The sequence below is a fragment of the Homo sapiens genome, chromosome 5 (genome assembly GCF_000001405.40).
Source record: "Homo sapiens chromosome 5, GRCh38.p14 Primary Assembly".
Lineage (NCBI taxonomy): Eukaryota > Metazoa > Chordata > Mammalia > Primates > Hominidae > Homo > Homo sapiens.
The window spans coordinates 141,535,968-141,558,274 of record NC_000005.10 but is presented as its reverse complement, the minus strand read 5'-3'; the positions used below and the strand labels follow the sequence as shown (position 1 = coordinate 141,558,274).

The 22,307-nt window shown below is 40.5% G+C and overlaps 1 protein-coding gene across 5 annotated transcripts in view, besides 4 other annotated features; it reads left to right on the top strand.

The window, feature by feature from the left end:
• DIAPH1 (diaphanous related formin 1) overlaps window positions 1–22,307 on the top strand; it is a 103,980-nt gene that overhangs the window by 60,726 nt on the left and 20,947 nt on the right. The window lies entirely within an intron of this gene.
• Window positions 79–373: an enhancer, noted in NCBI's record as "tiled region #13738; HepG2 Activating non-DNase unmatched - State 12:CtcfO, and K562 Activating DNase matched - State 25:Art". NCBI's record gives its function as "activates a minimal TATA promoter and a strong SV40 promoter by Sharpr-MPRA in HepG2 and K562 cells {active_cell/tissue: HepG2 | K562}" and the evidence as "EXISTENCE:reporter gene assay evidence [ECO:0000049][PMID:27701403]".
• Window positions 79–986: a biological region, named in NCBI's record as "Sharpr-MPRA regulatory region 13738".
• Window positions 134–986: an enhancer, noted in NCBI's record as "H3K27ac hESC enhancer chr5:140936856-140937708 (GRCh37/hg19 assembly coordinates)". NCBI's record gives its function as "activates a minimal SCP1, AML or CMV promoter by ChIP-STARR-seq in naive H9 embryonic stem cells {active_cell/tissue: H9 hESC(naive)}" and the evidence as "EXISTENCE:reporter gene assay evidence [ECO:0000049][PMID:30033119]".
• Window positions 10,387–10,587: a silencer, noted in NCBI's record as "peak5501 fragment used in MPRA reporter construct". NCBI's record gives its function as "represses an SCP1 promoter by STARR-seq MPRAs in K562 erythroleukemia cells {active_cell/tissue: K562}" and the evidence as "EXISTENCE:reporter gene assay evidence [ECO:0000049][PMID:32103011]".

Below are 22,307 nucleotides of genomic sequence, written 5' to 3'. Positions count from 1 at the left end.
AAACTATTACTGATCATAACCAAGCAGTAACTGCAACTCAGGGCTGTTGACTTGTGCCCTTTGTCTTTAGAGACTGAAAATTATTTTCCCTTCTTGTGCCTCAGTTTCTATTAGTTGAATTTTAGAGCTCAACATCAAGATTTGTGACAAAATTAACTTGGACTCTGTAGGACTGATTCGTTTGAAATGCAAAAGTAGTGAAGAACATAAAACAGACTCCCTATCTTGGCCGCCAGGGGGTGCCCTTTCCCTTCGCTTTACTGTCTGGCACTCCCCACCGCATTCAGCCATTTTAGACAGATTGTTTTTGCTCCCAGCTAACTCCATTTTGTATTTGTGACGCAGGAATAAAAAAAGGAGTTAGGCAAAGGAGGAGTCTGGTTTGCAGAGGGAGGGAGACTGGCTGAGGCGCAGCTACGTACTCTTTTACTCAGCAGTTGCTCATCAGGGACACACCTTGCTGCAGGCTGCCTGCATCCTGAGCAATCGATGCCGCAAGTCCTTGCCAGCGGAGCACAGAGCAAAATGGTTTGGCTGCCGGACACCTACTAACAGTGACAGAGTGCTAGCTTTTGAGGCAGCAGGCCAGGGCATCCCCTCTGCCTCATCTAGACTCTAATCCTGGGTTTAGGTGTTTTTGCTACAGAGATGTTTAGGGCAGTTTTCTTAATTATAGGATCAGATAAGAAAAGATACCCCCAAAAAAAGAAGAAAAAAAGGAACCCCTTTCACTTAGCTGTCTGGGAAGAATCAAATGCCCCAAGGACTCTAGGGAAATGGTCCTGAATTTTTTTAAAAAATGTTATTTTTGAAACCGTGAAAAAAATGCACGCACACATACACACATATATGTAAAGAGACTAGTATGAACACCCCTATGTCCATCACCCATTTAAAAAACTTAATCAACAGCTAGTCTTGTTTCATATACCTGTATCAACTTTGTCTTTGCCACCCATTATTTTTACATGTATCCTTGTTCATATTATTTAATCCTTAAGCAGTTCAGAATGTGTGTCAAAAAAATTAGGACTTTTAAAAGAAGATAATTACTACCATTATCACATTTAAAAAATTCTTTATCATCAGATAGCCAGTTAGTATTAAATTTCCCAAATTATCTTATGATAGTTGTTTTTTTTAATAGTTCATTTGAATCAGAGCCAAATAAAGTCTACACATTGCAGTTGGTTGATGTCTCTATAGGTTCTCTCTTATGCTCTTTTTTATTTTTTATTTTGCAATTTATTTATAGACTTAATTTCTTTTAAAAAGATCTCTGCCAGGCGCGGTGACTCACGCCTGTAATCCCAGCACTTTGGGAGGCCGAGGCGGGCGGATCACGTGAGGTTGGGAGTTTGAGACCAGCCTGGCCAATATGGCGAAACCTCGTCTCTACTAAAAATACAAAAATTAGCCGGGCCGCCTGGTGGCGCATGCCTGTAATTCCAGCTACTCGGGAGGCTGAGGCAGGAGAATTGCTTGAACCCGGGAGGCGGAGGTTGTGGTGAGCCAAGATTGCACCACTGCACTCAAGCCTGGGTGACAGAGTGAGACTCCATTTCAAAAAATAAATAAATAAATAAATAAAAAGAAGATCTCTCAGGTTGGGACTGAGAAGATACAAAGCCAGACTTCCCTTCTTGCCAGAGCAGAGCCTCTTCTTTAGGATTTCCCACAGAGGCTATTGGTGACCAAGTGAAGGAGCAATGCCCTGCCACCTTCAGAGGGAGAAAGGGCTGGACTCTTACTTTTCTCCTGACGTGATAATCTGTTACCCAAAGTCTTGAGAAAAGTTTGCACACTGCCGTCAACGGAGAACATGGTCATAGAAGTGGGCCTCACCCGTTCTAAGAATTAAAGGAGAGCTTTTAAGCTTTGGGACAACTGTGTTTGGCCACTGTGTAATAGCTGCATCCCTATGGTGATTCTAGAGTATCAGCTTTTTTTTTCCCGAATACTTTTTTTACTTAAGTAGCAGCTTTCTCCCTGGTAAGACTCAATGAATTAACAGCACTTCATGGACTTTTACAGAAAGAAAAAATATAATACTGTGTTGGGGCCGGGGGGGATGTGGTGAAAAGTCCTTTATGGCTTCAGGATTATAATATCGCTAGTCCTTCCCTTGACCTTTTTGGAGATACTCCCTGAGACTGACTTAGATGCAAATGATCAGATGAAAGTTCTTGCTTAATATTCTTCTCCCACTTCTGAAATGGGTCAGTGACTCTGACTTTCAGCAGCCACAGCAAGCAGTCTATTCCCTTGCCCAAGGGAAGGGCACAGGTGATAGAAGGGAATTAGCAGGGTCTGGCTTCTTGGCAAGGCTGGCAGGACACTCGTAGAGTCTGGTCTGTGGAGACTAGATTGGCCCCATGTCTAGTTTGGAAACTATAGTTCCCACTAGCAAAAGGTTTAGAATCTGCTGAATAGGTCAGGATTGCAGCAGCTAGAAATACGGATCCTGGCACGGCCACTTTTTAACCACATAGCTAGGTGTAAGGGTCTCTCTTTTCTACTATTGTTTGTTGAGAGTCACAGCCTTTGCAGAAAAAATTTTCCTCTTTTCCTTTGTGCTAAGGTGCTATCTATACCCACCTATTTTGGTCCCTTATTTCACACAATTCTGTAAACTGAAATTACTCAGCCCTTGATGTTGTTTTTAGGGTGAGGGACAGCATGAGGCCTTTGTTCTGGACTTCTCATCTTTGCTCTTATGAAAATGGGGGCTGGAACCCAAGCATTGATAAGGTTGTATATTAGGTGCTTTAGTATCTGGATGATTAATTAGTGCACCATTCCTGTAAGAAGGCTGGGAAGGCAGCAAATGGGAGCATTCTATGGGTTCTACATTTGACTGCCTGTCTTTACTGCTGGTTGTCAGTGGGAGTTCTTCCTAACCCACCGTCAAAGTTGAACCAGGCCTACCTGTCTAAGGATATGAAAATAAAATAGGTGGTGCCCAGAGCCATATCTGTCTTACCTTTCTCACAGTTTCCTGTTTGGTGACAGTTTTTAAAATTTACACATAGTTACATTATCACACTATGTTAACAAATCAAACTGTTTTAATTTGTTCATATTCACTTGTAGTCTTTGCCTGTGCTGTATATATAGCATTTACATGGTTGTAATCAGAGGGGGACGTGTGTGTGTATCTTAGTTCTTCTTTATTTCAGGTCGAAGTGTACAACTCATTATGCAGCATTAAATTTCAAAAAATTTAAAAGGAAATTTACATTCATGTAATCAGGGTCTGAGACCAAGATGCCCTTTGTTATGTACCCCCCTTCCAGTTACAACTGAACCTCCACCCCCAACTCAGAGTACCCACCATCCTGAAGGGTTTTGCCTGTAGCTTTTGGTATATATACACATTGTCAAAGAAGTTTCTTCGATTTCTAATATGCTAAGACTATTTATTCTGAATGGATATTAAATTTGGTCAGGTTTTTTTTTGTATTGTTGAGATGATCATATAATTTTCTACTTTAATCTGTAATTGTGGGAAGCATATTAACTGATTTCTGTTACACCGATTTTGCATTCCTAAAACAAATCTAACTTGAATGTGATCTGTTATTATTTTTATTTTATACCCCTTAATTCACTTTGCTATTAGGAATTTTGTGCCTGTGTTTATGAGTGAAAGTACCTATGATTTTTTTGATACTGTTCTTTCACATTTTGATAGTGAAGTTATGCTAGCCTCACAACATGAGTTGAGAAAATATACTTCTATTCTGTGGAAAAATTTTTTGCGTAAAATTGGTGGAATTATTTATTCCTTGAGTGTTTGAAATAATAGCTGGTAAAGTCATCTGGGTCTCTGAAGAAATTTTTGATCACCGATTTAGTTCTTTTATGGTTATAGGACTGGTTTTTTCTTATTGGATAAGTTTTGATGTGTTATGTTTTTCTAGAAATTTATCAATTTTATCTAAATTTGCAGACATATTTTGTATGATATTATTCCTTTTTTTGGGGGGAGCGGGTGGGGATGGAGTTTTGCTCTTGTTGCCCAGGCTGGAGTGCGGTGGCACAATCTCGGCTCACTGCAACCTCTGCCTCTCAGGTTCAAGCGATTCTCCTGCCTCAGCCTCCCGAGTAGCTGGGATTACAAGCATGCACTACCATGCCTGGCTAATTTTGTATTTTGGTAGAGATGGGGTTTCACCATGTTGGTGAGGCTGATCTCAAACTCTTGGCTTCAGGTGATCTGCCCGCCTCAGCCTCCCAAAGTACTGGGATTACAGGCATGAGCCACCGCGCCCTGCCTGATATTATTCCTCTTAATGCTTGAGCCTGAGCCATATTTAGTTCAGTCCTGTATTTTGTTCCTGATGTTAGTTACTTATGCCTGATTTCTCTGTTTTTCTTTCTTGTTTTAAAATACTGAATTTAACTGGTCTTAAAAAAAATGTTTTAAGCCAAAACTGTTGGCTTCGTGAATCCCCTCTGCTACAGATTTCACTAATTTCTGTTCTTGTCTCTATCTTTAAATTTTTCTTTTGGTTTATTTTATTATTCTTATTCTAATTTTTTTAAATAGGTACTTACCTCTTTAGTTTTTAGTCTTTTTTCCCTGTCATATATGCATTTGAGACGATGTTTTCTTGGGGGGTTTTTTTGAGATAGAGTTTTGCTCTTGTTGCCCAGGCTGGAGTGCAGTGGTGTGATCTTGGCTCACCGCAACCTCTGCCTCCTGGGTACAAGCGATTCTCCTGCCTCAGCCTCCTGAGTAGCTGGAATTACATAGGCGCCCACCACCACGCCTGGCTAATTTTTTGTATTTTTAGTAGAGTTGGGGTTTCGCCATGTTGGGCAGGCCGGTCTCGAACTCCTGACCTCAGGTGATCCACCTGCCTTGACCTCCCAAAGTGCTGGGATTACAGGCGTGAGCCACCATGCCCGGCCGAGACTGTTTTTGTTTAAATTATTGTTTGGGACACATCTCTTAAGTTGTTTTTTTGAGACAGGGTCAAAAAAAAAAGACAGCCTGTCACCCAGGCTGGAGTGCAGTGGTGCGATCTTGGCTCACTGCAACCTCCACCTCCTGGGTTCAAGCAATTCTTCTGCCTCAGCTTCCCAGGTAGCTGGGGTTACAGGCGTGTGCCATGACACCCAGCTAATTTTTGTATCTTTAGTAGAGACAGGGTTTTTTCACCGTGTTGGCTAGGCTGGTCTTGAACTCCTAACCTTAAGTGATAGGCCCGCGTCAGCCTCCCAAAGTGCTGGGATTACAGGTGTGAGCCACCATGCCTGGCTCACATCCCTTAAGTCTTGATAGGAAGTGTATTCGTTTGCTAGGGCTGCCGTAAGAGAGTGCCACAGACTGAGTAGCTTAAACAACAGAAATTTATTTCTCACAGTTCTGGAGGCTTGAAGTCCAAGATCAAGGTGTTAGCAAGTTTCATTTCTTCTGAGGCCTCTCGCCTTCTCTTGCAGATGGTTGCCTTCTTGCTGTGTCCTCGTGTGGTCTTTTCTTCTGTGTGCGCATTCCTTGTGTCTCTTTGTGTGTCCAGATTTCCTCTCCTTTATAAGGACACATCAGATTTGAAGTACTTAATTTCCATATATATTGAGTGTATTAGTTTCCTATTGTTCCTATAACAAATTACCACAAATTTAGTGACTTAAAACAATGCAAACGTATTATCTTACAGTTCTGGAGGCCAGAATTTCTAAAATCGAAATGTTGGCAGGGCTGTATTCCTTCTGGAGGCTCTAAAGAAGAATCTATTTCCTTTCCTTTTCCAATGTCTAATGCCTGCCCAGATTCCTTGGCTTATGGTCCCTTCCTCAATCTTTAAAGCCAGCAGCATAGCATCTTCAAATCTCTTTCTCTGACCTCTGCTTCTGTCATCACATGTCCTCTCTGACTCTGGTCCTCGTATCTCCTTCTTATAAGAATCCTTGTAGCTAAGTGTGGTGGCATGTGCCTGTAGTCCTGACAGCTCAGGAGGCTGAGGCGGGAGGATTGCTTGAGCCCAGGAATTTAAGGCTACAGTGAGCTCTGATTGCACCACTGTTCTCCAGCCTGGGTGACCGAGTAGGACTGCAACTCTAAAAAAAAAAAAACAACAAAAACAACTTGTGATTATACTGAGCCTACCCAGATAATCCAGATTAATCCTGTCATCTCAAGATCCTTAATTAAATCATGCCTGCAAAGTCTCTTCTGCTGCATAAGCTTGTTCAATATTCCCAGATTGTGGGAATTAGAATGTGGACATCTTTGGAGGACCATTATTCTGTCTACCACATGGAATTTTCAGGATTTTTTGTATTTCTTGTTAATTTCCGGCTAATTGCATTCTGGTAGGTGCTCTTGTGATTTCAGTCTTTAGAAATTTGTAGAGTTTTGCTTTAGGGCTCAGAATATTGCCAAATATTATAAATGTTCTGTGTGCACTGAAAGAACACGTATATGGTCTTCAGTTACGTGAAGTGTTCTGTATGTCTCCATTTGTTCTTGTCTGTTAATTGTGTTGTTTGAATTTTCTGTATTCTATTTGTTTTATCAATTACTGAGAAAAGTAGTCAAAATATCTCACTTTATGGAGTAGGCATTGTACTATTTGGTTTTATTTTATATTTTTTCTTTTGATTTTTTTATATTGACATAATTTTAGACATACAGAAAAGCTGCTAGAATAGTACAAAAAATTTCCTGCATTTGCTTGACCACATTCCAAATCAACTGTTAATATTTTACCTTTGTCTTACCCTTTTCTCTCTCTGTGTGTGTTATTTATGTATGTGTATGTGAGTATAGTATTTTTTATTGAACTATTTGAGGGTAAGTTAGACACGATGCCTTTTTTTTTAAGAGACAGGGTCTTGCTCTGTTGCCCAGGCTGGAGTGTGGTGACACTGTAACCTTGAACTCCCTGGCACAAGCAATCCTTTCACCTCAGCCTTCTGAGTAACTGGGACTACAGGCGTGTGCCACCGCACCTGGCTAATTTTTTGATTTGTATTTTTGGTAGAGATGTGGTCTCACTATGTTGCCCAGGCTCTTCTTGAACTCTTGGGCTCCAGTGATCCTTCCTCCTTGGCCTTCCAAAGTGCTGGGATTATAGGCATAAGCCACTGAGCCCGGCCCAGTGTGTTTTCTAATAACAGGTCCATAAATGCGGTACAGTTGTCAAAGTTAGAAAATTAACATAAGTGCAATACTGTTATTTAATCTACCGACTTTCTTCAGATTTTACCAATTGTCACAATAATGTCCTTTATAGAAAAAAGTCCTGGATCATGTACTGCATTCATTTGTCTTTTATCTTTAGTCTCATTTAATTGGGAACAGTTCCTGTTATGGTCACCTGCAAGGGCATTATAGACCCCCACTTAAAATTTGGTTTGGATGTTAAGACTATTCGTGTTACATGCATAACAAGAGGGTATGAAAAGGTTTATTAACATAATTGAGGTCCAGGAGAGCAGGGCAATCCTCTCAAGCAGGTTTGAAATGACTGTAGAGAACAAGGAAAGGATAGCTGGGCATGGTGGTGTGCACCTGTATTCCCAGCTACTCAGGAGGCTGAGGTGGAAGGATTGCTTGAGCCTGGGAGGTGGAGGTGAGCTGAGATTGTGCCACTGCACTCCAGCCTGGGCAATAGAGTGAGGCTCTGTCTTGAAAAAAAAAGAAAAGAAAGAACAGGGAAAGGAGATTCGTTTGGGCTTTTATTGTGGTTAGGGGCTTGGGCTGGGGTGAGAGTTCTTACACAAGAGCGGACTTTACCTAGTTTGGATTTCTTGCTGATTCCCAAGGAAGGAACATCTAGACTTTCATATCAGCTTGCCTGGATAAGGGACTTAGGAGAAAGAAAAAGAGGTAAGGTTTACATCTGGCTTATGTACAGATATAGGACATGAGAGAAAGAGGAAGAGGTGAGCTGTCAGCAGTTAAACATCAAAAAATGAAGTCAGACTCTTTGTTATAGTTCCTCAGTTTTTATTTTTTGTGACCTTAACGTGTCCATCAGTTTGGATTTGTCTCGTGTCCTCATTATTAGATTCAGGTTATACATTTTTGGTGCTTTATTTATCTTAAGATAATGTTATTAGGTACATACAAATTTAAAAATCCTGCATTTTCCTGATGAACTAAACTTTTTTTTTTAATCAGTATAGAAAGTCCCTCTTTATCTTTTATACTGCTTTTTGTTACCTTAAAGACTATTTTCGTCTGATGTGAATGCAACTTGGACAACTTTCTTCTAGTTAGAATTTGCCTGGTATAGCTGTACTTTTTCTTCCTTTCTGTATCCTTGCTCTAGATGTTTCTCATAAACAGCATATCCTTGGACTCTTGTTTTTTAATCCACTTGACACCATTGGTCTCAACCAATACAGAGTGTGTAGTCTGTTTACATTTAATGTAATTACTGAAATATTGAGGTTTAAATCTACCGTCTTATTTTGTGCTTTTTATGAGTTCCATTTGTTGCATGTGATGTGTTGATTTCATTCCATTCAAAATATTTTTTTCTATTTTGTGATTTCTTACCTGACTCCAGAGTTATTTATATATTTGCTTAATATCCAAATAATTGGGTATTTTTTGGTTATCTTTTTACTGATAGCTTAGTACTTTGAATTATTTCTATCCTTTGAAATTTGTTGAGGCTTGCTTTTACCCATATATGGTAAATTTTGGCAAATATGCTGTATACATATGAAAAAAGATATGTTAGTATTATTGGGTACATTGTTCTAACATGTCAGTTAACTTTGTTAGATATGGTCAGATTTTCTACGTCCTTTCCAAGTTTTTATCTGCTTGTTTTATTAGTATTGTGTGACGGGTGTTAATTCTTCCACTGTGGTTATGGATTTGTCTTTTTCAGCCTTTAGTTCACTCAATTTTTAACTTTATATATTTTAAAACTAAATTATTGGATATTTTTAGATTTAGAATTATTATATTTTCCTCAAGGATTGACCCTTTATTATGAAATGTATGTATCATGCCAGTTATTAGAGATGATATCTCTATCTGATACTAGTATAGCTACACCAGTTTTCTCTTGATTATTGTTCTTTTGATTAGTACATCTTCTTCCACTATTTTACTCTCAATATATCTGTGTCTTTATTTAAGGTGTGTCCCTTATAAGCAGCACATATTTAGTATGTTTTGTAACTCCAGTCTGACAGTTTTAGTCTTTTCATATATTTAATCCATTTGAGTTGATATATACCCTATTTCTATTTGTTTTCTGTTTGATTTTCATGATTTATGTTCTTTTTTCTGTTTTTGCCCTCTTACGGATTAATTTAGAACTGTATTATTTCACATTTCCCCTGTCGTTATATACCTTTTTACTATCCTCCTAGTGAGTATCTTAAAAATTACAATATACATACTTGACTTATGATAGTCTAATACAAATTATAATTTTACTACCCTCTAGATAATGCTAGAACTTTACAACATTTCTTTTTTTATTTTTCTTTTTTGAGGCAGGGTCTCACTTTGTCACCCAGGCTGGAGTACAGTGGCATGATTGTGGCTCACTGCAGCCTCAGCCTCCTCGGGCTTAGGTGATTCTCCCACCTGAGCCTCCCAAGTAACTGGGACTACAGGCACACATCACCATGCTTGCTAATTTTTGTACTTTTTGTAGAGACAGGGTCTCAACCTTATTGCCCTTATTGCCCAGGCTGGAACATTTTAGCTCTGTTATGTACCTTCCTTTTGAGTTACTGGTGTCATGCAGTTTGATTCTGTAGGTGCTTTAAACCCCACAAATATTTTTACTGTTACTTTGTAATACCAGTAGTCACTTAGAAACACCTTTCTAGTGTTTTTGCTTCCTGTCTACATTTTTGTATTTCCTTCGGATAATTTTTTCTTTCTTCTGCCTGAATAAATACTCCCTTTACTATATTAGTTCAGGTCTGCTGCTAATGAATTGTGTTTTTTTGTGGATATATCTTTATTTCATCCATATTTTGGAAGATGTTTTTTCTTTTTTTTTTTTTTAAAGAATTCCACTGTCAGTCTTATTGTTTTTCATTTGAAGATAATATGTTCCACCCCCTGCTATTTTGAGGTTTTTTTTTTTGAAACAAGATCTTGCTCTGTCGCCCAGGCTGGAGTGGAGTGGCGCAATCATAGCTCATGGTAGCCTTGAGCTCCCAGGCTTAAGTGAGCCTCCTACCTCAGCTTCCTGAGAAGCTAGGACTACAAGCGTGCACCACCGCATCCAGCTAATTTTTTAGTTGTTTTGTAAAGATGGAGTCTCACTGTGTTGCCTGGGTTGGTCTCAAACTCCTGGGCTCAAGGAATCCACGCACATTAGCCTCTCAAAGTGGATTACAGGTGTGAATCATCTGGATCACCACACCCAGCAAGGATTTTTTTTTTAACTCTGATTTTTAGCAGTTTTACTATGATGATATGCCACGGTGTGGTTTTCTTTGTATTTATACTTGAGTTTCTCTGAGCTGCTTGATTCTGTATGTTGAAGGCTTTCATCACTTCTGAAAAATACACAACTATTTTCTCTTCAAATCTTGCTCCTGTCCAATTTTTCTTCTCTTTCTGGGCCTCCAGTTATACATATGTTGGACCATTGGCCTTTTCAATGTGTCTCACTTGTCCATTACATTCTTTTTCATTCTTACCATTTTTAACCTCTGTGCTTTTAGTTTGGATCTTTGTTACTGTCTTCCAGTTCACCCATTTCTACTATGTCTACTGTTAAACCCATCTGTTGAGCTTTTAATTTCAATTATATTAATATTTTTTAGTTGTAGAATATTCATAGATTTTTATTTTTTATTTTTATTTATTTATTTTTGAGGCGGAGTCTCTGTCGCCCAGGCTGGAGTGCAGTGCCGCGATCTTGGCTCACTGCAAGCTCCGTCTCCTGGGTTCACACCATTCTCCTGCCTCAGCCTCCCGAGTAGCTGGGACTACAGGCACCTGCCACCGTGCCTGGCCAATTTTTTGTATTTTAAGTAGAGATGGGGTTTCACCGTGTTAACCAGGATGGTCTTGATCTCCTGACCTCATGATCCGCCCGCCTTGGCCTCCCAAAGTGCGGGATTACCGCGCCTGGCTGAATGTTCATAGATTTTTTAAAAGTAAATTCTACTTCTCTGATGAACTTCTCCGTCTTCATTTATTTTTATTTTTTCCTCTATATTCCAGAACATGTTAACCAGAGTGATTTTAAAGTCCTTTTTGGGAAACTGTAATGTCTGAGTTGTATGTGAATCTGTTCCTATTGGTTTGTTCCTTGAACTTTGGGCAAATGATCCTCCCTTTTGACATTACTAGTAATTTTGATTAAATGCCCAGGCATTGCATATAACAATGGTGGAAACTCCAGATGATGTTACTTTTCTCTGAAAAGAGAAGTCACACTTTCCTCTCTAGACAGATAATAGTAGAGGCTGATTGTGTTAATCCAGTCAGGAATTGAGCTGTGCCAAGACGTGGTTGTGGTTTTGGAAAAGCTTGATCTACCTCTTTCACCCTGTTCCTAGAGTGTAGTCTTTCTAAGGCTTTCAGCTGTGAGCCTGTTTTATTCAACTTTAAGGATATAGCCTTTTGTGCTCCCAGCTTAAGGAGGAGAGTCTCTTTTTTTTTTTTTCTTTTTTTTTTCAGAGTCTCATTCTGTCGCCCAGGCTGGAGTGCAGTGGCACGATCTCAGCTCACAGCAACTTCCACCTCTCGGGTTCAATCAATTCTCCTGCTTCAGCCTCTCAAGTAGCTGGGATTACAGGCACCTGCCATCATGCCCGACTCATTTTTGTATTTTTAGTAGAGACGGGGTTTCACCACGTTGGGCAGGCTGGTCTTGAACTCCTGACCTCGTGATCCACCTGCCTCGGCCTCCTAAAGTGCTGTGATTACAGGTGTGAGCCACCACGCCTGGCTGGTCTCATATTTTGTTTGTTTGTTTGTTTTTTGAGACGGAGTTTTGGCTCACTTCAGCCTCTGCCTCCTGAGTTCAAGCAGTTATCCTGCCTCAGCCTCCCGAGTAGCTGGGATTACAGGCATGCGCCACCATGCCTGGCTAATTTTTGTAGTTTTAGTAGAGACAGGGTTTCGCCATGTTGGCCAGGCTGCGCTCAAACTCCTGACCTCAGGTGATCTGCCCACCTCAGCCTCCCAAAGTGCTGGGATACAGGCATGAGCCACTGTGCCCGGCCCCAGAGTCTCATATGTTTTACTTTATACCATCTTGATTTTTTGTTATTCTTAGGGAAGTTTTCATTTATTCAAGATTATATTTCTGTTTTTTATAGTTAGATTTTTAATGTATCTAGAATTTAGTTTTGTGAATATCATAAAATTAGGATCTTACTATATTCCTTTAAAATGGAAAGCCAGTCGTCCCAACACTATTGGTTAGACCAGGAGTCAGCAAACTACGGCCAACATGTTTTGTTAATAAGGTTTTATTGGAACACAGCCATTCTATTGTCATTGTCAATGACTATTTTCATATTATGCCGGCAGAGTTGAGTAGTTGCAACAGAAACTATTAATATATGGTCCACAAAGCCTAAAATATATGTCTGTTTATGGAATTTCTTTTATTTCTTTATTTGCTTAATGTGTTCTTCTCTCATCATCTCACACTGTTTTTTGTTGTTGCTTTTTTTCTGAGACAGGGTCTCATTCTGTTGCCCAGGCTGAGTACAGTGGCATAATCACAGCTCACAGCAGCCTCAGCCTTCTGGGCTCAGGGGATCCTCCTACCTCAGCTTCCTAAGCAGCTGGGACTATAAGCATGTGCCACCATGCCTGACTAACTTTTTATTTCTTGTAGAGACAGACTGTGTCGCCTAGGCTGGTCTCGAGCTCCTGGACTCAAGCAGTCCTACCACTTGTCCTTCCAAAGTGCTGGGATTACAGGCATGAGCCACTGTGTCCAGCTGTTCTCACACTATTATAGTTATTTTAGCTTTATCCTACTGTATTGGCCTTGAAGATACAATTTGTTTAGTCAGGTTTGCTGAGATATAATTTATATATAGTAAAATTCACCCTTTTTATGTGTACAGTATTATATGGCTGACAAATGTATACGGCCATATAATCACAGTCACTCCAAAAAGTTCCTTCATGTTCATTTGTCAGTCCTCCTCCTTATTGCCAAACCCTGGCATACCACTGATCTATTTTCTGACAGTTGTGTCTTTTTCAGACTGTCATATAAGTAGAATCATACACTAAGTAGCCTTTTCAGTCTGGATTCTTTGATTTTAGCATAATGTCCATTATGTCCATTCACTGGCTGATGGACATCTGGGTTGTATCCAGTTTTTGGCAATTATGAATAAAGCTGATAGAAACGTTTGCATACAGGATTTTGTCTAGACAAATATATTTTCATTTTGGAGGGATAAACACCTAGGGATGAGATTGTTGGGTCATATGGTATGGTAAATGTATGTTTAACTGTATAAGAAACTGCCAAACTGTTTTCCAAAGTGGCTGTACCATTTTTCATTTCCACTAGCAATGTATGAGAGTTGCAAATGCTTTGCATCCTCACCAACACTTAAGTCTCATAAGTTTTGTTTGGTTTTGTTTTTAGTGATTTTAAAAGGTTAGACTTTGTAGTTTTAATTCCTAATGAGTTTAATTCCTAGTACATAGTTTTCATGACTTACTGATGATATTGAGCAGCTTTCTCTGTGCTTAATTTGCCATCTGTATATCTTCTTTGGTAAAGTGACTTTCCAAATCTGTCCATTTTTTAAAATTGGGTTGTTTTCTTATGATCTAGTCATAACTTTTTAATCTGTGTTGGGTATACTAGTTCTTTATCGGATAAGTGTTTTGCAGATATTTTCTCCCAATCTTGTCTTCTCATTTCTTAATAATGGCTTCAAAAGAACAGAAGTTTTTAATTTTGATGAAGTCTGCTTCATCAATTTTTCTTTTTATGTTTTGTATTCTTTTCTTTCTTTATTTTTATTTTTATTTTTTTGAGATGGAGTCTCACTCTTGTCGCCCAGGCTGGAGTGCAGTGGTGCCATCTCAGCTCACTGCAAGCTCCACTTCCCAGTTTCACACCATTCTCCTGCCTCAGCCTCCCGAGTAGCTGGGACTACAGGTGCCCGCCACCACGCCCGGCTAATTTTTTGTATTTTTACTAGAGACAGGGTTTCACCGTGTTAGCCAGGATGGTCTCGATCTCCTGACCTTGTGATCTGTCTGCCTCAGCCTCCCAAAGTGCTGGGATTACAGGCGTGAGCCACCGCGCCCGGCCGATTTATACTTTTTTTTGTGTCTTACCTGAGAAATTATTACCACCTCAAAGCTGTGAAGATTTTCCCCTGTTCTCTTCTAGATGTTTGGTAGTTTTAGGTTTTCCATTTAGTTCTATGGTCCGTTGTATAGATGCATGCTTGTCTATATGCATGTATACATTTATCTATTGATTGTATTGACATATAATTCACATATGATAAAATTCATCTTTAAAGTATACAATCCCATTTTTTGTGTGTGTACAGATGCTCCTTGACTTACAATAGAATTATGTCCTGAAAGCCATTGTGAGTCGAAAATATTGTTAAGTTGGAATGCATTTAATAACACCTAACTTACCAAACATCTTTCTTAGCCTAGCCTACCTTAAACATGCTCGGGACACTTATATTAGCTTACAATTGGACAAAATAATGTAACGCAAAGCCAGTTTTATAATGTTGATAATGAATTTTGAATCAAAATTTGAAGTACAATTTCTACTGAATGCATATGGCTTTTGCACCATCATAAGCTAAAAAAAATTGTTAGGTTGAATTATCTTAAGTCAGGGATAGTCTGTATTCAGAAAGTTGTCCAGCCATTACCACTATCTAATTCCACAGCATTCTTATCACGCTTACAAGAAACCCTGAATCCACTAGCAGCCACTTCCTACTTCCCATTCCACCCAACTTGGCATCTGCTAATTTACTTACTATCATATGGATTTGCCTGTCATGGACATGTTGTGTCAATATAATTAATAAAGTATGTGCCCTTTGTGTCTGGCTTCTTTCACTAATCATGATGCTTGCAAGGTTCGTGTTGCAGCATGTATTAGCACTTCATTCCTTTTTATGACACCACATTTTGTTTTTTCCATTCATCAGTTGATGGACATTAGGATTGTTTCCACTTTTTGGCTATTATAAATAATGCTACTATGAACATTTTCTTTTTTTTTTTTTGTAACTAAACTGAGATGAAGTACCAACAGCATGACCTTTTACCCTTAAATTCTTCAGCATGCATCTTCTAAATACAAGTTCTATAATCACAGTGTAATTATCACATTTAGAAAATTTATCATTGATAGGATACTGTTATCTAATATACAATCCATATTCAAGTTTCACCAATTGAATTAGTTTTTAAACATGTAAGACAATAAACAATTTTATTGAGATGAAATTCACACAACATAAAATTAACCATTTTAGAGCAAGCAATTTAGTGGCATTTGGTATACTCATAATGTACAACCATCATATCTATCCAGTTCCAAAACATTTTCATCACTCCCAAAAGAAATCCTTTACACTTTAAGCAGTTGCTCCTCATTCCTCCATCCCTTTAGCTCCTAACAATCACCAGTCTATGTGTGTCTCTATAGATTTACCTCTTCTGAATATTTCATATAAGTGAAATAATATATGTGACTTTTGTGTCTGGCTTCTTTCACTTTAGCATGATGTTTTTGAGAATTCTCCACATTGTATCATGTTATCAGTAGCTCATTACTTTTTATGGCAGAATAATATTCCATTGCATATGCCACAGTTTGTTTATGCATTAATTGACAGACAGACAATTTCTTTTTTTTTTTTTTCCCAAGACAGAGTCCCACTCTGTTGCCCAGTCCAGAGTGTAGTGGCACGATCTTGGCTCACTGCAACCTCTGCCTCCTGGGTTCAAGTGATTCTCTTGCCTCAGCCTCCCGAGTAGCTGGGATTACAGGCATGCGCCACCATGCCCAGCTAATTTTTTGTATTTTTAGTAGAAATGGCATTTCACCATGTTGGCCAGGCTGGTCTCGAACTCCTGATCTCATGATCCGCCTGCCAAGGCCTCCCAAACTGCTGGGATTACAGGCATGAGCCACTGCGCCTGGTGGACAGTTAGACTATTTCTACGTTTTGTCTATTTTGAATAGAGCTGCTATGAATGTGCATGTACTTGTATCCATTTGAGTAGCTGTTTTTGGTTTTGGGGGATATATGCCTTAGGAGTGGATTTGCTAGGTCACATGGTGATTCCGTTTAATAGGATGAAAGGATATGTTGAATCTGTAGATCGATTTGGGGAAAATATACATCTTTCAATGTTGAATTTTATGTTCTATGAACATCATGTATCTTTCCATTTATATAGGTCTTTGATTTCTCTCATCAGTGTTTTGTGGTTTTTAGCATACAGTTGGGTCACGTAACTTTTGTTCACATAACTGAAATGTAACTGAAGTGTTTCTTTCTCTTTTCTATTTATTTATTTGCTTTTGTCTTATGGTACTTTATTTCTCTTTCTAGTTGTTCATTTCTTTTTCTTTCTTTCTTCTTTTTCTTTCTTTTTTTTTTTTTTTTGAGACAGAATCTTGCTCTGTTGCCCAGGCTGGAGTGCAGTGGCACAATCTTGGCTCACTAGAACCTCCGCCTCCCGGGTTCAAGCGATTCTTATGCCTCAGCCTCCCGAGTACCTGGGATTACAGGCACACACCACCACCAGCTAATTTTTGTGTTTTTAGTAGAGACAGGCTTTCACCATGTTGGCCAGGCTGATCTCGAACTCCTGACTTCAAGTGATCAACCTGCCTTGGCCTCCCAAAGTGCTGGGATTACAGGCATGAGCCACTGTGCACAGCCCTTAAGTATATATAAAGAAATATAATTTAGAGAGTAGTGAGAGCAAACATCTTTACCTTGTTCCTGGTTTCTAGAGTCTCAGAATTCAATCTTTCACAATTAAGCATAAAGTTATTTGTAAATTTTTCGTAAATGTTCTTTATCAGGTTGAGGAAGTTGCCATTAATTCCAAGTTTACCTAGAGTTTTAAATCATGAATAGGATTTTAAATTTTGTCAAATGCTGATATGATTTTTTAAACATCTCTGAAATCATGATGTTTCTCACAGTGGATGTCATAGTTTCATTGGCAGGACTCTTTCATTTTTAATGGTGCATAAAATAGTGTGTATTTTATAATTGCTGCCATCATATATTTGATGAAATAGCCCAAGCTGGAGTGCAGTGGCATGATCTCAGCTCATTGCAACTTCCCCCTCCCGGGCTCAAGCGATTCTCATGCCTCAGCCTCCAGAGTAGCTGGGACCATAGGCGAGTGCCACCACACCAGGCTAATTTTTTGTATTTTAGTAGAGATGGGGTTTCACCTTGTTGCCCAGGGTGGTCTCGAACTCCTGAGCTCAGGTGATCTGCCCACCTCAGCCTCCCAAAGTGCTGGGATTATAGGCGTGAGCCACCACACAGGGCCTGAAATGGCGTCTTTTGATAGGTGATAGTGCTGGTGACATGTCTGTTTAAAAATTTTCCTGAGACCAGGTGCAGTGGCTCATGCCTGTAATCGCAGCACTTTGGGAGGCCAAGGTGAGTGGATCCCCTGAGGTCAGGAGTTCGAGACCAGCCTGGCCAACATGGCGAAACCCCATCACTACTAAAAATACAAAACTTAGGCTGGGTGTGGTGGCTCACGCCTGTAATCCCAGCACTTTGGGAGGCTGAGGCAGGTGGATCACGAGGTCAGGAGTTCGAGACCAGCCTGGCCAGTATGATGGAACCCCGTCTCTACTAAAACTATAAAAATTAGCTGGGCGTGTGGCAGGCGCCTGTAGTCCCAGCTACTTGGGAGGCTCAGACAGAAGAATCGCTTGAACCCGGGAGGCGTAGGTTGCAGTGAGCCGAGATTGTGCCACTTCATTCTAGCCTGGGCGATATAGCGAGACTCCGTCTAAAAAAAAAAAAAATTAGCCAGGCATGGTGTCATGTGCCTGTAATCCCAGCTACTCGAGAAGGAGGCTGAGACAGGAGGATTGCTTGAACCCAGGAGGCGGAGGTTGCAGTGGGCTGAGATCATGTCACTGCGCTCTAGCCTGGGTGACAGAGCAAGACTCCGTCTCAAAAAAAAGAAAAAAAACAACCTTATGCCTTATGAGATATACAGAAAGCACTGGTTAGAGGGTAATTTAGACCTGTAAATGCCCATAGTAAGGAAGAAGAATGATCTCAAATCAATAACCTAACCTTCAACCTTAAGACACTAGAAAGAGAAGAGCAAACTAAATCTAAAGCAAGCAGAAGGAAAGAAATAATAGAAATTAGGGAGGAAATTAACAAAATAGAGAATAGAAAAAAAAAATAGAGACAATCAGTGAAACCAAAAGCTTATTATTTAAAAAGATAACAAAATTCATAAAACTTTAGCCAGATTGACCAAGAAAAAGAGAGACTTGAATCAGAATGAAAGAGTAGACATTACTACCAAACTTCCAGAAATAAAATAAAGAGGATTACAAAGAATACCGTGAACAACTGTTCACCAACAAATTAGATAACCCAGATGAAATGGCAAGTTCCCAGAAATATACAAACTACCAAAACTGACGCAAGAAAAAATAAACAATCTGAATAGATCTGTAACATGTGAGGAGATTGAATCATTAGTCAAAAACTACCCAAAAAAGGCTGGGGGCACGGTGGCTCACGCCTGTAATCCCAGCACTTTGGGAGGCCGAGGTGGGCGGATCACAAGGTCAGGAGATCAAGACCATCCTGGCCAACATGGTGAAACCCTGTCTCTACTAAAAATACCAAAAAAAAAAAACAAAAAAAAAAACAAAACTACCCAAAAAGAAAAGGCCCAGATATCTTCACTGCTGAATTCCACCCAACATTTAATGAAGAATTAATACAATTAACACTAATTCTTTGCAAACTCTTCCAAGAAATAGAATATTTGACAACTCTTTTTTTTTTTTGACACATGGTCTTGCTCTGTTGCCCAGGCTGGAGTGCACTGGGGCAATCTCCACTCACTGCAACCTCCGCCTCCTGGGTTTAAGTGATTCTCATGCCTCAGCCTCCCAAATAGCTAGGATTACAGGTGTGCGCCACCATGCCTAGATAATTTTTTAATATTTTTAGTAGAGACAGGGTTTCACCATGTTGGTCAAGCTGGTCTCGAATTCCTGGCCTCAAGTGATCTGCCTGCCTCAGCCTCCTTAAGTGCTGGGATTACAGGCGTGAGCCACCACGCCTGGCTCACATCTCATTTTATGAGGCTAGTATTACCCTGATGGCAAAATCAGACAATGACATCATAAGAAAAAACTATAGAGCAATATTTTTTATGAATTTGGTAGCAAAAATCTTTAATGAAAAACTATTGACTGGGTGTGGTGGCTCATGTCTATAATCCCAGCACTTTGGGAAGCTGAGGTTGGTGGATTGCTTGAGCCCAGCCCAGCCTGGGCAAAGTGGCGAAACTGTGTCTCTACAAGAAATATAAATGTTAGCCAGGTGGGCTGGGCACGGTGGCTCACGCCTGTTATCCCAGCACTTTGGGAGGCTGAGGCAGGTGGATCACCTGAAGTCAGGAGTTCGAGACCAGCCTGGCCAACATGGTGAAACCCCGTCTCTACTAAAAATACAAAAATTAGCCAGGCATGGTGGTGGGTTCCCGTAATCCCAGTTACTCGGGACGCTGAGGCAGGAGAATCACCTGAACCCAGGAGGCGGAGGTTGCATGGTGGTGGGTACCTATAATCCCAGTTACTTGGGATGCTGAGGCAGGAGAATGGTGTGAACCTGGGAGGCGGAGTTTGCAGTGAGCCGAGATTGTGCCACTGCACTCCAGCCTGGGAGACAGAGCGAGACTCCGTCTCAAAAAACAAAAAGCCGAGCGAAGTGGCTCACGCCTGTAATCCCAGCTCTTTGGGAGGCCGAGGCGGGCAGATCACGAGGTCAGGAGATTGATACCATCCTGGCTAACACAGTGAAACCCTGTCTCTACTAAAAATACAAAAAATTAGCCAAGTGTGGTGGTGGGTGCCTGTAATCCCAGCTACTCAGGAGGCTGAGGCAGGAGAATGGCGTGAACCCAGGAGGCGGAGCTTGCAGTGAGCCAAGATTGCGCCACTGCACTCCAGCCTGGGTGACAGAGCGAGACTCTGTCTCAAAAAAAAAAAAACAAAAAAACAGCCAGGCATGGTGGCTCATGCCTGTAGTCTCAGCTACCTGGGAAGCTGAGATGGGAGAATTGCTTGAGCTCAGGAGGTTGAGGATGCAGTGAACCATGATTGAGCCACTGCACTCCAGCCTGGGTGACCAAATGAGACCCTGTCTCAAGAAAACCCCTCAAAAACAAAGATTCTATTTTGATTTATTTGCAGTGTTTGAGTGTATTGCTTTATATAGTTTTCTTAGATGTTGTTGTAGGTATTACAATATACGTATATAACCTATCCCAGTCTAATACATAACCTATCCCAGTGTTTTACCAGGTTGAGTGAAGTGTAGCAACTTTTTTTTCCATTTAAGTCTCTTTGCCCTCCTCACTTTTTAAATATAACTGTCTTAAGTATTTCCTCTACATGAAGCTACTCCATTTTGGTGGAACTGGAAGTGCATATGCTTGTCTTTTATCTGTCAACCTTACTGAATGATTAATTCTTGTAGTTCTTCCTTGGGTTGTCTTGAATTGCTATATATAGTCATATCTTCCACAAAAATGACATTTTCATCCCTTTTTTTTTTTTTTTTTTTTTTTTTTGAGACGGAGTTTTGCTCTTTTTGCCCAGGCTGCAGTGCAATGGCGCGATCTCAGCTCACCACAACCTCTGCCTCCCAGGTTCAAGCGATTTTCCTGCCTCAGCCTCCCTAGTAGCTGGGATTACAGGCATGTGCCACCACACCCGGCTAATTTTGTATTTTTAGTAGAGACAGGGTTTCTTCATGTTGGTCAGGCTGGTCTCGAACTCCCGACTTCAGGTGATCCGCCCGCCTCAGCCTCCCAAAGTGCTGGGATTACAAGCATGAGCCACCGCGTCTGGCCAATTTTCATTTTTTATATGATTTTCGTTTTTTGGAGACTAGGGACTCTCTCTGTCATCCAGGCTGGAGTGCAGTGGCACAGTCATGGCTCACTGCAGCCTCAACCTCCTGGGCTCCAGTGATCCTCCTACTTCAGCCTCCTAAGTAGCTGGGACTACAGGCATGTGCCACCATGCCCAGCTAAATTTTTTTTTAAATGGAGACAGGGTCTCACTATGTTGCCCAAGCTTGTCTCAAACACCTGGACTCAAGTGACCCTCCCACCTAGGCCTCCTAAAGTGCTTGGATTATAGGCATGAGCCACCATGCCAGGCCTATTTTTTTATGTGATCTGTCTTTACCTACTTCTCTCACTTCATCTCCTGCTCTTCCCTTCATTGCATCTACTTTTAGCCTTAGTGACGTTTTTGCTCCTCCTTCAACAACACATCCAACATGCTCTATCTCAGGCCTTTGCATTTGTTATTGCCTCTGCCTGGAATGCTTTTGCCCCTTTCCCCTGGATGTTTATGTGGCTTGCTCCCTCACTTTCTAAGAGGTCTTTACTCAGATGTCACTTACAGTGAGATCTTCCCTGACCATCCCTCTAAAATTGTAAACTGCCCCCGTCATCAAATCCCCCATCCTTTTCCCTGTTTTTCTTTTCACAGCAGCTATGATAATATAGTATACTATTTTATCTATTAAATGGTCTAGTTTATTTATTTTTGTTAGGACGTAAGTTCCATGAAGGCAAGAATCTTTCTCTATTTTGTTCACTTCTTTTATTTCCATTGCCCAGAATGGAGCCTGGCACATATAGGTACTCAATAAATATTTATTGAGATAATTAATCTTTGTGTATTTAGTATTTTTCTTCCTCAAACTGGGACTACTGAGCTCCAAAACAGTGAATTTTTTTGAGACAGGTTCTTACTGTGTCATCCAGGCTGGAGTGCAGTGGCACCATCACAGCTCACTGCAGCCTCAATCTCCTGGGCTCAGGTGATTTTCCCACGTCAACCTCCTGAGTAGCAGGGACTACAGGTGCGCGCCACCATGCCCGGCTAATTTTTGAACTTTTTTTATAGAGACAGGGTTTTGCCATGTTGGTCAGGTTGGTCTCAAACTCCTGAGCTCAAGTGATCTGCCCACCTCAGCCTTCCAAAGTGCTGGGATTACAGGTGTGAGCCACTGTGCCCAGCCAAGAGTGAATGTGTTTTATAGTTCTTTGTACCTTTTGTATGTAACTTTTT